Genomic DNA, 16,337 nt, shown 5'->3' on the forward strand with positions numbered 1-16,337 from the left:
AAGAGTGAGAAGTTGCTCATTGCTACCCGGACAGCACTAAGCCATTCATGAGGGATCTGCCACCATGACCCAAACACCTCCCATTAGGCCCCATCTCTAACAGTGGGGATCAAATTTTGACGTGAGGATTGGAGGCTATTCAAACTGTAGTAGGTTGTAAGGCAGTTATATGTTTAGTTTTTAAGAAACTACTAAACTGTCTATCAAGCGTGACTGTATCATTTTACATTCTTACCAGCAAAGATGCAAAAGCAGTTTAATAGAGAAAGGATAGCTTTTCCAACAAATGGTGCTAACGCAGCTGGGCATACATAGGAAGGAGGGTGATATGGTTTGGCTGTGTCCCCACCCAAATCTCATCTTGAATTGTAGCTCCCATGATTCCCACGTGTTGTGGGAGGGACCAGGTGGGAGATAATTAAATCACGGGGGTAGTTTCCCTCATACTGTTCTTGTGATAGTGAAGAAGTCTCACAAGATCTGATGGTTTTATAAGGAGTTTCCCCTTTCGCTTGGCTCATTCTTTCTCACCTCCTTTCATGTAAGATGTGCCTTTCACCTTCTGCCATGATTGTGTGGCCTCCCCAGCCACGTGGAACTGTGAGTCCATTAAACCTCTTTTTCTTTATAAATTACCAATCTTCGGTATGTTCTTATCAGCAGTGTGAAATGGACTAATATAGAGGGGAAGGGGGGAAGGAGGAGGGGAAAGAAGAGGAGGAACAGGGAAGCAAGAAGAACTTTCACATAAACCTCACAACTTGAATAAAAATCAACACGAAAGGAATCATTTTCCCCGCATCTTCACCAGCATTTAGTGTTGTCACCACTTGTCACTCTCATAGATGTGCAGCGATATCTCAACGTGGTTTTATTTAGCATTTTCCTTAGAGTTAATGATGTAGAACATCTTTTTGTGTGTTTATCAGTTAAATGGCTGTCCATGTCTTTTGCCCATTTTCCAAATGGTTTGTCTTTTTTGTTGTTGTTGAGTTTTGCGAGTTCATTATAAATGTTAGATAATAGCCCTGTTTTGGATATGTGGTTTTCAAATATTTACTCCCAGTCTGCAGCTTGTCTTTTTAGCCTCTTAGCAGAGTCTTTCAGAGAGAAATTTTTTAAATTTTGAAGTTAAACTAATCAATTTTTCCTTTTATGGCTCATGCATTTGATGCCAAGTCCAAGAACCCTTTGCCTAGACATAGATCCCAATGACTTTTTCCTCTGCTAGTTTCTAAAAGTTTTATTTTCTAAAAGTGTTACATTAATGTTCATGAGACATTTTGAATGAATTTTGTGCAAGGTGTGAGGTATAGGTTAATTTTTTTTCCTAACTGTACAATTTGTTGAAAAGTCTATTCTTTCTCTAACTGAATTGCTTTTTTATTTTTGCAAAAAAAAAAAAAAAAAGACCAGTGGGCATATTTGTGTAGGTCTGTTTCTGGGTTCTCTATTCTGTTGCATTTATCTATGTGTCTATACTTCTGTCAATGACACATGGTCATATAAATATTACAAGTATGTAAGTCTTGAAACTGGATGATAGACTAATTCCTACCACCTTATTCTTTTTCAAATCTGTTTTAGCTATTCTAGTTCCTGTGCCTTTACATATGAATTTCAGGATAATCTTGTCTATATCTACTAAAAATTGTTGCTGATATTTTCATAAGAATTATATTAAAACTCTGTATCAACTTGGGAGAACTGACATATTTACTATGATGAATCTTCTAACCTGTGAGAATATGTCTCTCCATTTATTGAGATCATCTTTGCTTTCTCTCATCAGCATTCTGTAGTTTTCACCATACAAATTCTATACATTTTTTGATAGATTTTCATGTATTTATTTTTGTGTGTGTGTAAAAGGTGCTGTATTTTTTATTTGGTATCTATCTGTTGATTGCTAATATAAATAAACATAGTTGGTTTCTATATGCTGGTCTAATATCCTGGGGCCTTTCTGAACTCATCTATTATTTCTAGGATTTTTTAAAAAGATTCCTTAGACTTTTCTAGGTATGACTTACAAGGAAGTCACCTGCAAAAAAAAGGCTAGTTTTACTGCTTCCTTTCTAATCTGTATGTCTTTTATTTCCTTTCCTTGGCTCACTGTGCTGGCAAGATCAATAATGAAAGTATTAAAAGTATCAGAACTTGCGTAGGGGGCATAAAATACTAAAGTGTTTTCCTACTCTCACACACTACTCAACACTTCTCACACCAGATTCTCCAACAGACGCTAACTGGGTATCCTAGAATTCAATTCAGTTCACACATTATCTACCCAGAGATATTGTCAGATCCAACAGGTTAGGGGTTCAGTCCCACAAGACAGCTCCCACTTTGGATGTCAGTTGTGTACCCCAGGCTGTGAAGTGTGGTTCTGACTGGCCAGCTATAAATCAGGATTCCTACAACCTCCTCTTCATGTTCAAGAAATTTGGTAGAGTGGCTCACAGGACTCAGGGAAATGCTTTACTTATGCAGATATACAACCAGATGGAAGAGATGGAGAGGACAAGGTATGTGGGAAGGAGTGTAGACCTTCCCTCTCTGGGAAGGTGCCCTCTCTACGAGCACCACCCTCCAGGCATCATCACACGTTCTGTAAGCTGGAAGGTCTCCAAATCCTGTCCTTTTCAGGTGTTTATGAAGCTTCATTTCTTATGCATGATTGATTACAGCATTGGCTACTGATGATCATCCAGACCTTCAGACCCTCTCCCCTCCCTAGAGTCAGGAGATAAGGCTCAAAGTTCTGATGCTTATACCACATAGTTGGTTCTCCTAGCAACCAGTCCCCATTCTGAGGCTATCTAGGGGCCCCAGCCACCAGTTATCATATTAGCATTAAAAAACACTCTTATCTCCAGAGATTTCACAAGTTTTAGGAATTGTGCACCCGGAACCAGGGGCAGAGGCCAAATATGTTTATTATATCAAAATATCACAAAAGTATTCGATCTTCCAACACTGTGTTGAATAGTAGCGGTGAGAGTCACCATCTTTGACTTTTTCCCAACCGTAAAGAAAAGCATTCAGTCTTTCAATGTTAAGTATGTTACTTTTTTGCAGATATTCTTTATCAATTTGAAAACATTCTCTTCCTTTTATAGTGTTCTGTTTTTATCACAAAGTGGTATTAAATTTCACCACATGCTTTTTCTGTGGGAATTGATATGATCATGTCATTTTTCTTTCTTAGCCTGCTAATGTGTATGAAATTAGATAATTTAAACTTAAAATAAGTCAACTTAAAGCTGTTAGAGCTTTAAATCATTCTGAACCTTGAGAGGTGGCTCTGCAGCCTGAGTCAAGTGGCATGCAGCTGCAACTTCTGGCTTTTTTCTTGTAAATAATTAAGAAGACCAAGCAGTGCCAGGGACAGGACCCCCTCAGATCATTACCCTTTCTCACAGAGTAATAAAGTAATCTTCCTTTGAATGTAGCAATCCATAACCAATCAAATTACTGTGGCATGTGCACTGGTCTTGCATGGAAAATGTTGTAATCCTGCTGGAACTTCTCTGTCCCTGCCTATGTAAATGAAACCTCAACAGCACCAAATTGGGCTGCTGATCCATTTGTGTAGAGTCAGCCGTGACGATCCTCAAGCTCTGCACTAGGATAAACTCCACATTTAATCGTATTCTTTGAACCTCATTATTTACGGTTGACATGCGGTAGATTCCATTGCTGATTTTCAAATAAACCCTACTTGATCATGATGTATACTTCTCTTTATACATTGCTGAATTCAATTTGCTAACATTTTGTTAAGAAATTTTGACATCTCTGTCTATGAAGGATGTTGGTCTGCAGGGTTTTTCCTACTATTTTCATTTGGGGCAATACAACTTCAAAAATTAAAAAATAAATGAATATTCTTCCTTCATCTGAGAGTGTCTTGATTTCCCTTTCATATTTGAAAGACATTTTCACTAGACATAGAATTCTAAGTTGACAGTTATTTTCTTTCAGTATGGAAAAAATATGATGCCACTTTTGCCTGCCTGGGAAACATTGGCTTTATTACTACTGGGCAGGGGAGAAAGTCCTAATTGTCTATAATGCCTCTTCTGGTATCACCCCTGAGTGGAGGAAAAGGTACTTCTCTACTGTTGGTAGAGGTGAAAATCCAGGCTCCCCATGTGGACTCGTTACCACCCACTGGATATGAGAATTCTGGCTCTCTACTTGGCTTTCTGTAATACCAACCTGACAAGGAGGCTGGAGTGGCTCATTACATCCCAGTGACGATAGTAGTTTTGGCTCCCACTTGGCCTTTGCTGTTGGAGGTAGGAGTAGGTAGGCCACACGTTTTTCAATGTGTGTATGTGTGGTGTTTAGCTGGAGTAGTACAGATATTATCTAAAAATTTTCTCTATATTGCTAGACTGCCCCTTTCCCAGTCCTTCACCTACAGTGAGCAGGCTTTCGCTGTAACCTTTCCTTTTGTCTGTGCCCTCTGTCAGCTAAGGGTTACTAGCTTCTTTAGTTCCAGGGCTGGGATAGCTAAGGCAAAAACAACGTCTAGGGAATTCACTACCATATTGTTTCTTGTGTCTCCAGGTCTCTAGCTGATCTGACTTCTCTCCACCTCTCAGAATATTTTTAGTTTTGTCTTATATACAATATTCAGGATTTTTTACTTGTCCTAAATGAGAGGAAGAGGAAAAAGTACACCTTTTTCCTAGAAGTGAAAGTCCCCTTGTTTTACTTTTTCAAAAAAACTAAAATCTTTCTCTTGACTGTTATCACAACAGATCCTATCAAAGAAGAGAAATTAAGACCAAAAAAAGTGTAACTGAGGGATAGTAAGAGAATATTCACAGCTTTACTTGAGAAGAAAAAAGGAAGGGTTACAAAGTGGGGAGGATTAGAGTCAAAAGACTCAAGTTCTAATGGAAAGATGGTCAGCTACTAGCCTTGCATCTCTAAATATCACTTAAATATTCAGGCAGCCCCATATTTTGTTTTGTTTTGTTTTTTCCTGTAAGATGGGGATGATATCACCGAGGTGCCCTTCCACAGTTGTGGTCGTATAAGATGAGATAGGAAATGGGATGGTGCTTTGTCAATTTTCAGTCAAGATATAAATAAAGGGCATGTTATTGCACTCCGATGATAAACTCCCTGCCTACTTCCCACTTGCTCCAACAAAACCCAGTTGTTTCCAGTTTGTCCTGTGTTTCAGCATTGATCCAGCAACTATTGATCCATGTGCACAAACTAGAAATATGGGAGGCATTTTGGATACCTCTGACTCCCCCTATTCCCCACCAGTCAAAATAAGAATATCACAGTCCTGATGTTCTCCTTCCAGATAGCTCTCAGATCCATCTGCTTCACTCCATCAGCCCTAGATCCAGCCCCCATTCTCTTTTACCTGTACTGTAATAGTCATCTCCCAAGTTTCCCTGCTTCCAAACTCATCTCTAAAAAGCAGCTAGATCATCTTTCAAGCACCCAAAGCATCTCTCCCGAGTCCATTCTAGATTCCCCCGGATCCCTAGAGTTCCCATTTGGGCTTCCCGTTTCTCAGGAGACTTATCTGTTCATTTATTTAAAAAACTGAAACGGTTTTCTCTTATTTATCCTAAAATAAAATTTTGACCTGAAAGTATGATTTTAAAACACTTTAATACCTTTATAGTCAACAAGTAAATAATATTTCATAATAGGAAAATAATTATGTGACATGTCATATTGGCATTGCTTCATAAGGTCAAGGGAAAAGCTGGACATATAAACTAGAGATAGTGTGTTTCACCATAGCCTTATGTACGTATTACTAAAGAATGAAAACATCAGCCATAACTTGCAAATCTGCATTATGACTCATGAAACAAGTACACTGTATCTCGCCAAGCTATAATTACTGACTAAACCTAAACTTCTTTATCACAAACTCATTCAGCCTCATGTGCTCAACCCATACACATAAACTCTGTTCTAGAAACTGCCTAGTTGATCAATTCTGACCCAGATCTACTAGGACCATTTCATGGCTAGTTCTAGCTCCCAAAACCTTCTCCTACCCTTCTCCAGTTCCTTTTGACATACCCCCCAGTTTCCCTGGTGTTGGTTCACCTTTGCAACAGCAAGCTCATAACATGACTTAGAATCTAAAAATTGTTCTGATACTCTTTAACGGGTTTTAGCAAAATAAGTGATTAGGATAAACATTGAAAATTTTACACCTAATTTTAACAGTTACTAATATTACTTCTAGTTAGAGGAGAAGGACTACAGAGTAGGGAGCAGGGTGTAGAAGCACAGATTACTCTTATTTTTCTGTAAGGACTGAAGTTCAAACAATAAAAATGCACTCATACATTTCCTCAGAAATTTTAAAAACACACATTAAATGCTAAATATACATCCTGTCAATTAAAAACTGTAAGAGTAACCTTATAAAAGGAAAAAAAAGTTTGCTCTCGGGAGATGATTAAATACCCATATTGACTAAATATATTTAAAGTGGTTATGATTCAATGTCAGACTAATATTTTTGCCTCTACTTTAATTGCTTTTTAAAAAGAAGTATCAGGAGGTTCCAATTAGAAATTTAACTGAAGGCCACTTTGAATCAATATGCTGTGGGAATTAAATGATGCTGTTTTTATGTTTTCCTTTTTGAAGATATTGGTCATTCTTTTTTTAAATTTTTATCTCTAAGAGTTCAAGGAAAGCTTGGTTTTTATTGGTAAGGCAAGAAATGCAGCTTCTGACTAAATGTTTATATCTTCAGTGTGGGATGCCCTTCTCCCTTTCTCTCCTCCTGGCATATTTAATCAACAGAATATTCACAGATCTTTTACCTCCTACAACAGGCCTACTCCAACCCTGCATAATTTCTCCTATCTTAGGGCCTCTGACATTTATCCCGAAAAAGACAACTAAATACTTGATTCTATGTTTTACCATATTTCTTTTCTTCCTCCACATCTCACTTTTTATTTTTAGAAAATGCCTCTAATGCAATTTAGTGATCATCACAGTGCCTAGGACATTGCTTGGAACTAAATAACTATTTAAAAGAAAAAACAAATATGGTTGATTAGTATAAGCAACTACTTTGCAGAACTTTGAAATGTGACTTCCCATTTCAAAGGTTGTCTTTCGTATTCCCCAGTCTTCCAACAATCATATTTCACTGACGTCTAACACATATACCTGATTTGAGAATATTCTGAGGCTGAGCTCCTTTATCAAAGTTAATTGGTAGAAAGTGTCACTCACCAGAAAATTCCATCTAATTGAAAACTGGACTGAAATGGCTAGGCTCAAATGGGGGCTGATCTAAATTTCTCATCAAGCATCACTTTAAGGTATCTTAGACAAGACTGCCTTGAGCTGTAAAAAGCTTTGATGCCATCAGCCTTACACCAGGATCAAAATCAATTTTCAACTTTTATTGAAAGCTTTGTTAATAAGTTTCTCCCCTGTTCGTCACAGTTATGAAAAACCTTTAATATTTTTGTTGCATGGGAATAAAGCTAGGAAGGATGTAAATTTCAGACAAATTGGAGGTACATTTTAAAAATATTGTCATCGAGACTGACAACTGCCAAACCTGGAAACCACTTTCTCCCACATCAAACACACCCTGAAGTAATGGTGAATTCAAATTGATATGCAAGCCTGTGACAGAGGCTATCAGAAGAAACTATTTCTTTTCACCTCTAAAATACAATTCACTAAGCATGACATCCAAATTCCTATTGTCATAGGCATTTTCACTGGTTTAGAAGAAGACTGCAGGACGGCTAATGTGTTTTCGTTCTCAGATAAGGCTAATGGGTTTCAGCTCTCTTGCCAGTTTGATTGCCAAATGCTGCCTGTGACACAGTAAAGAATTTTGAAGTTGCTCATGGACTTTGTGGAGGAGAGTAACACAGTCTATCAGCAACATTTACCAGTATGGCAAAGCAGCATTCACTAATGAATCTGAGCCCTCTCCCGTTGCTGGACCCATGGAAGACCATTTCCAGAGCCTTCAGTGCAGCTGGACAGGGCCACATGACCAGTTCTGTCCCACAGGCTGTGATCAGTGTTGATGTGTGCCGCTTCACAGCCCATATGTGATTTTCTATGCTTCTCATCCCTGAAGCCTTGAGATAAAGGTGCCATAAGACAGCAGTAGACAATCGTGCTGAGCCACCCCTTGGAGGTGAGCTGTCCTGGAGCATCACCTAGAACCTCCGCAGGCTTTGCAAGGATGAGAAATACTCCCAGTTGGTTAAGCCACTGTGATTTTCATATTGTTTGTTATTGCATTATAACCCAACCCACTCTGACTTCTACACACAGCTCTCAGATGAGGGACTGGAGACAGGAGTGCCCAGCACTTAGAGGATTACAGATTAATAGTAAGGAACACTGGTTCCTCTTACATTTAAGACACCCACAACATCATGATGCATTTCCCTCCAATGAGATGGGAATTCTTGTACCCTTGCACAGCTTGCTTTCATTTTGATGACTACTAATTGTGACCTGCACCTTGGCTCTTGCTTGTCTCCTTTATTCCTTCTCTCCTTCTTTACGTAGACACACAGATGTTCTAGAGCATGCCTGATATATCACACTAATACATTTATTAAGTATCCCTTTGAAAAGCAAAATGAAACATTACAATTTCTGTGGCTCTTTTAAATGCCTGTGAACACACTAGCACATTACATTTTTAAGTATTTCAGTCAAGGGGTCACTTGGGTTAGCCTACATTTTGGCAAGTAAATCAACAATTGCTGCCAATTGCATCAGAAAGATTCCTTTACTTTTAGCAGATCTCTACCAGGAGAAAAGGAGCAAATGTATTGGCTTATTGGAGCAAATGACCACCACACCTCAGGAACAAAAGCTTATACTTTCACATTGCTTACTAGATGCCAGGAAACACTCTATGAGCTTTACTGGTATCAATGAATTTAATCCTCCCAACAACCTTAGAGGTCATGGCCACATTTACTCCTATTTTACAGATGAGACAAGTGTGTGAGTTTACATGCTTACAAAAAGCACTTATCTTTTATCATCATAAAATAGAGTTTTTAGATAAAACATAGGATAAGCAGTTAATCTTTAGATAAATAATAAAACAGTTTTAGTATATGTGCCATATATTGCATGGGACATACTTATTCTAAACTGTTTTTTACATTTATCTGAAATTCAAATTCAGCTGGGTCCCTGTACTCCTATTTGCTAACTCTGGGAACTCTAAATTAGAAGCTGGATTTAAAATTTCATCAATTCTCAGTATCTAACTTTATTAAGCAACCAAGCTAAGCTGATTGTACATCTCTATCAAACAAAGTTAAAGACAAGTTTTTATTAAAATCTCTGAATCTAATCTACTATAAAAATAAAATGCCAAGAAGATTTTTACTACAAAAATTTGCTTTTGCTTTCCTACTACCCAGTCTGTGGCAATTGAGAAGGATACAGACATTGAATGTAGATTCTGTCCGTTGTCACATTTTATATCTAAATTGGTGAAAATCCTACCACTCGTGTCTGTAAGCCATTCACTTTGTTTGGATTGGGGGCTGGGGTTTGCAAGAAAACACAGAATATTCCTTTTTGTTCTTTTTTTTTAAACTTTTATAACATGGGACCTGTTAAGACAGAAGCATGAATATTCTAGGTCAGGCAGAGATGAAAGGACATAATAAATAGGAAACACTGCTCTCCCAATGTATCCTGAAGAAGTCCTTGTCAATCATTTCCAGTAAAGTGAATAAAAAATGCTTACCATGGCAAGAGCATACACTGAGTTTGATGTAGTGGGGACAAATCATAAAATAGGTGTAGGGTGAGGCCAAATTTTAAAATCTAAGGTACCTTGGAATAATATACTTCCAGAGATTCTCAATAACAGCATTTTAAATTCTTCTTCTCTCTTCCAGGTTCTGTTTCATGCAGGGCCATGAGTTACTGCCAACAAGTTAATATCTACTCTCGGCTGTTGATTCAACCCAAACACTGTGCATCTCCAATCTCCATCCATCAAGGGCTTCAAAACAATGTGTTTATCTTTCTACTTGTTGTGAATATTAATAAATTAAGATCTTTAAACTGTCTAGGAAGAAGTAAGAAATAACTGCCAAGAGCTTGGGTACAGATGAGGTATTTACATACATTAGAGAAGTACCATTAACAGTAAGTAATGGTGCTTTTACATTCTCAGAATGCAGTGCAATAGACTGTCGATTTGTTTTGGAGGTGTCTGCAGTCATAACACGTATCTCATGCTAAATGGATACTTAGCAATTTTTAATAATTTTAAACTGATGTGCTATTTAATGGTTTGGTGATAACGCACAGTTTTATGAAGACGGTTTTTGAATTTGGAATTTTTATTGAACTTGATTAAATTTAATGAGACTGCATCACTTACATTCTACCTTAATTCTTAATGTTTATAAAGGTCACAACAACTAATTTTAAAAGTTGTATTTTAGAAAAGCAAATTCTGTCAGTTAATGACTATACAATTTAAACCATAATTCCAAGATTTTCTAAAGCTAGCCTACATGTAGTACTGTGGTATGTCTTCATGAGGGGTATTAAAGCGTAAAAGTCTAAGACATATCACTGTTGTGAAGGAAAACAAATAGGAGAATTTTATTAACTCCAGATTCTTTTGACTTTGTCTGACTTTTGATTAGAACTAGAGTACGCAAAACTCAGCAGACTATGGTAAAGAGGATTTACGTCAACTCAACTTCCCAAGAAGTTAAAATTAAAAACATATCTCCCCTAAGTCAATACATCCCGCATTATTTCACTGGTGACTTTAGTCCCAATTTGTTTGAGGAAACTAAAGGTAAAAGAGAAAACAAATTTGCTTTGAAGGAGTCAAGGCTATGTGGAATAGAAATCTCTGCAAAAATACTTAACCCAGTCTGTAGCCTTTCCATGAAGCAAAGAAAACGTAAAACAGATTTTGGGGCATTCTGACACGAATTACTAAGATATCACTTATATGCCTGTTTTTAGACTGAGAGGCTCCTCAATTCCTTTTTCTTTCTGTCTGCGTCATTTCCATCAGGAACAACTGTTCAACCCTTACTTGTAGATCTTCATAATGATTCTTGACAATACACGTGCAAAATTAAAATGGGTCTCTTTGCACTGCTTGCAGTATGGCAAGAGAGTTTACAAGGCAATAATTCTAAATATAAAATAAAAAACAAACACATTACATGATTTTACAAATTTAAGGGAATGTGTAGAAGGAGTACTAATCACACTTGGCATGTTTAAAAATACACTTGGTGCTCGTCAGTGCTCAAAGAGTACAGTCATATCGTTTGAATTATCAATAATAATAAAATCATGGAGGATTGATCGTGAGAGTGTTTTCCTTCATCTTAGCCACAGTAATAAGACCTCTATGCTGCACTTCTTTTATAATTAGGCAAAAATCTGACAGAAATCCTGTGAAGGCAGAGGTAGTTATTTCTGTGTATTCTTTAGACTTCCACATTAAGAAACCATGCCCCCTTTTGACATGACTATCTCTTTCTTCCCCACACAACAAAACTGAGAACATAAAATTATGGACACAACTGGGCAGCTAAATGCAGACACGCTGACTGCAATAAGGCTCTCATCTCACAGAGGAGGAGGCAGTACAGCACTCTGTCTCCAGTAAAACATCTCCTCAAAAACTTCAAACTTTCTTAACATCTACAGAGAAGTCTTAACAGAAAAGTCAGTAAATTCGCCTGCCACACACCATCTTGTCATTTGACCTTTGATTTCTATAGTTCAGCACTCCCTAATTCCAATAGACAAGATTCAAAGAAATGTCTGTAATACTTCATCTGCCCGAAGGAAGACAGTGAGATAATATCCACACAAGTCTTGAACTTTTAAAATCCATTCTCACTGATACAGGGGAATATGAACTGGAAGAAGGATTGAATGCCATGCTTGAGTTTTTACCATCAAATAAAATCTTCAGTGTGTTGTTTGACAATGATATTTACTTTGAGTGTGTTTTAAAAAATGACACCTGCTACAAATATCATGGATCTGTATATCCTTGATGTCTCACAGGTCATAAAACAGCAAGGGCAAATATTTTATGAGCTACATTGCATTGTTGTTTTGTTCCCAGGAAAAGAGGTATTTTCTCAAATACTAAGAGACCAGTCTATTCCTGGGGTCAGCTGAAGCCAGTGTTGACCCTGGACAAACACTGGGAGAGAGCTGTTTCCCTACTATGATGATCCCTGGAGCTCAGATGCTGTCTGTGCCCAGACCCTCAAGGCAACCATGGCCAAGGTAGAGAAGGTGAGGACACTGCTCTGAGACACATGTGGTTCGGCACACACGTGTACTGTGATAATTGTTGCTAATGATGCTGACAGTAGCCAACATTTACCAAGGGATCACTATGCAGTGAGCACTGTGCACAGTGCCTTATGTGCTGACTCACTGAATCCTCATAATGTCATTTGGAGGTAAGTACTATCAGCAACACTACTTCGCAGATAAGAGGAAAACAACGGACAGTAATCGTGCTGCACAGCAGCAATCTTGGGAGTTGAACTTGATAAATCCATGCATTTATTAAGCTCAAGTCACCCATATAAGGAGTCAGACTTCAGTCAGTCTCAGCTCCACCTTTACTATAACCTTGGCCAAGTTACTTAACCTCACAAAGCCTCAGTTTCTTCATTTGTCACATATGGATGACAGTATTACTTGCCTTACAGAAAAGTCATCTCAAACTTGGAAAGAGGCGATTGAGCTTACTGCATTCCTTCAGTGTAGAGTTCCCACTATTGGGCCTGACTTTCTGTTTACAGGGTTAACTGACAACTCTCAGGAGAGGGAATAATTAGTATGGGCTGTTACAGACCAGGAGGACATCATCCTTTCTGTATCTAACCCAACACTCTACCAAATTGCACGTATAGGTATAGGTATAGGTGTATGTGTATATATATATATATATATATATATATATATATGCCTCTCAAATGCTCTTTGGACTGACTTTAACGTTACATTGGGTCCCCCCCCAACAATTAGTGAGCTGAACAAAATCTTGATGTGTTCATTTTATATTTGCATGAGAGCATGAATTTGCCTTTCTGCCAACTGTCTGAACACAACATTGTTTTAAGAATTGAGATAATGCATATGAAATGTTCAGCATAGGACCTGGGTTACCGATGATTCACTAAATGTCATCTATCACATCACTCCTATAATCATCTCTATAACTGATCACCAAAAGTATACTATTTAAAACTTTTAATGTGAGGAATGGTTGTTTCTATTTACTCATATTCAAATACAAACAGAGAGTATTTAATCACTAACTGTGAGAATAGCTCTGAAATTATATACTGTTATCCACAGCTGGGGCCACTTTAAAATCTGGCCTAGAGAGTGATTATCTCACACATCACACACCCAGTACGAAAATGGAGTTTTTAAGATATCCACTTTCTAGGCTGCTTGGAGCCTTAGTGCCGTCACCTCTGGTAAACAGGATTCATTAGAGTGATAATTGACAGTTGTTTCCCTTTCTAAGTGATTGCTCTGTAGTTCCATTATGTTCTGTCAGGGAAGTGCTAGCAATTAATTACCAATAAACTAAACACCAGCTCTGCTTGCAGCGGAAGGTTTGGAACCATTTATCTTGGGGGTTGAGGGAGGTGTTTGGGAGAGGGGAAAATCCACCTCACCAAATACATAAAGTGCTGTGTAAAAACCTTATTACAAGGGTGGGTGGGGATGGTTAGAGGCTCTGGGAGGACAAGAGACCCCCATTTCCACTTCTGACACTTTGGTATATTAAAAGAAAAAAACCTCAAACCAGTGGTCCAAAAAGTATGGTCCATTTTAACATAGGCTACTTTGAACACTAAAAAAAATACACTGCAGAATGATTATGACAGTCCCAAGATGACGACAAAACTTTTTGTTTAAGCCAAAAGCATAGCAAGGAAATACTCAAGTGGTGTGACAGAGGACTTTTTACCTTCTATTAAAGATTTTCTGTGCATTCCTTCTACTGGAAATAATATATAAACTCCAAATTGAGGCTTTTTGTGAAACCCTGAGATCCAAGGGTTTGAGCTTCCTCTCCTCAGTAAGCCAACAGACTCTGAGGTCAGATTCTTCTGCAAACCATCTGAGATCCTATACCATAGTTGCTTGCTTCCTTTCCTGTTTAACTTTTTTTTTCAATATAGAACCATGTGGTGGCTTTTTATATAGATCCTGGGGATACATCCTCGCAGCTCTCCAACTTCCTCTATCAGCTCAAGTCGCTCCCACAGCCACAATGGTCTCTGGGTTCCCTAGATTCTCACTACATATTACTTACTATAATTTTTAAAATATACTTAATCACACGTGCTTTCAGTCCACTTCACATTCGAGTGTCTCATTTCATAAGACTGTAGCTCCTTGAGGACAAGGACACGTCTTCACAGGGTAATTAACAATTACTGAGCACCTGCCTGCTGTCTGGAATCAGGTCATGCAGGCAGAGCAGGCAGGCAAGAAAGCAAGTAAACAAAGGCAACCTTTATTTACTTCTCCCACATTTCTCTGCCGTGGGAAAGGCAAGTCAAAGCTGAAAGAAAAACCAAAATGGATTTCATGGATTTCAGGTCTCCACAGAGCCCATGACCTGTTATTTGAAGGCTTTTGACCCACCAGTATGTCCAAACATCTGTTGACATCTGCCTCTCTGTTCTGTGGTGTTTTTCAAGGGATGCTAGGTGTTCTTCAAGGTCAAAAGGGAATGGTGCTCTCTTAAAGAAACTGGTGCTGAAAAGAATAAGGGTTTAGTTACCTGGGGCAAGAAGTAGAACAAGAATTGGGTGGAGGTCAAGAAAAGCCTAAGGCCAAGTGAGAAAGACCAACAGAAGCAAAGGAGACAGACAATCAATGATAAATTTCCCCCACCCTAGGCCTAGGGGTCAGTACTGATAAAAGAGGAACAGACCAAAAAGGCACAGGTGCAGGAGGTGACCAGTCCAAGCCTCTCCAGTTGGCTTCTGAGAGAGCTAACAGCTACTGGGGAAAACTGGAGCCTCCAGTCCAACCTAACCTGGCCTTAAAAGGCACAACCCCCAAGACAAAAGCACTCTACGTATTCCTGAAACACACAAGGACACAGATTAGAGGAAAGAAAGAAAACAAAGGGCTCATTTACAAATGAAATTTGTAATTGAAATTATTTTGAAATTTATTTCAAACTTATCTACATGGTCCAAGAATTAGATGAGTACAGGGGACAACTGTGTATGCCCCAGATTCACTGGTTATTATATTTTTCCCCATCTGCCTATCATTTGTGCACTTTCTTGCTTGCTTTCTCTCTGTATACACACTATTTTTTCCTGCTTCCTTTGAAAATAAATTGCATTTAGCGCATACTTCTTAAAACTAAAACTAAAGATATTCTTTTCCACCCCAGTACAGTTACTAATTTCAGTAAATGGAGCATTGGTACAATATTATATCCAGTCCACTGTCTTCTGTTTCTCAATTTTGTCAATTAACCCAACGTCATCCCTTTTGGCATCTTCCCCTCTTTAATATAAAATCCAGTATAGGATCTTATTTAGTGTTCCTAACTCTTAAGTCTCCTTTAACCTCAAACATTACTTTGTCTTTCTGTTTTCTTTTTTAACAGTACACCTCCATGCCCCAAACCCCTCTACCCCAACGTGTGTGTGTGTGTGTGTGTTTCATTTTGTTTAAATAGAACTATTCCTCATTTGGGGGTTCTCTGCTGTGTCCTTGAGTTTAGATTCAGGTTGTATATTCTGGACCCAAGTACCATATTGGTTATGCTTCTCAGGGTACTGCATCAGGAGACACACACATATCTCTTTGCTCATGAATGGTGATGTGAATTCTGATCACAGGTCAAGATGTTGTCTGGTTTCTTCACTATATGGCTACTGTGTTTTTCCAAACACAAGACTGCTTAATATTCTGAGTGTATATTAGGCAGGCAAAGAATCTAGCTCATTATATTTTAGTTATACACTAACAAAGTACGCACATTTATAAAAGCTTACAGTTGTATTTTGTTTGTCTAAAATAATGACACATTAGGACCAATGCATAATTGCTCACTCTGTGTTGTCTACCATTCTGAGCTATAAGCTTTTATTATGCAAAGGCTGTGGTTTGTGAGCTATCATTTGTATGGGCTCCTTCAGGCCCTCTCAATAAAATGACACATACAACAACCAATAAACATGCCCTTTTCTTAAACATGGTCGGGGTGGACTTTCACATTTCATAGAGCATCTCAGGGCTGTTCAAGCTAACAG

The 16,337-nt window shown here is 38.2% G+C and overlaps 1 protein-coding gene and 1 long non-coding RNA gene across 8 annotated transcripts in view; both read right to left on the bottom strand.

The window, feature by feature from the left end:
• Positions 1-16,337, bottom strand: part of FHIT (fragile histidine triad diadenosine triphosphatase) — a 1,504,176-nt gene that overhangs the window by 548,252 nt on the left and 939,587 nt on the right. The window lies entirely within an intron of this gene.
• Positions 1-16,337, bottom strand: part of LOC107986015 (uncharacterized) — a 100,472-nt gene that overhangs the window by 39,248 nt on the left and 44,887 nt on the right. For both annotated transcript variants that reach the window (XR_007095935.1, XR_001740433.3), the window contains one exon: positions 1-16,337. This exon is cut by the window's left edge and continues 39,248 nt beyond it; it is cut by the window's right edge and continues 14,135 nt beyond it. This is a non-coding gene — a long non-coding RNA (uncharacterized LOC107986015).

The sequence above is a fragment of the Homo sapiens genome, chromosome 3, assembly GCF_000001405.40.
Source record: "Homo sapiens chromosome 3, GRCh38.p14 Primary Assembly".
NCBI lineage: Eukaryota > Metazoa > Chordata > Mammalia > Primates > Hominidae > Homo > Homo sapiens.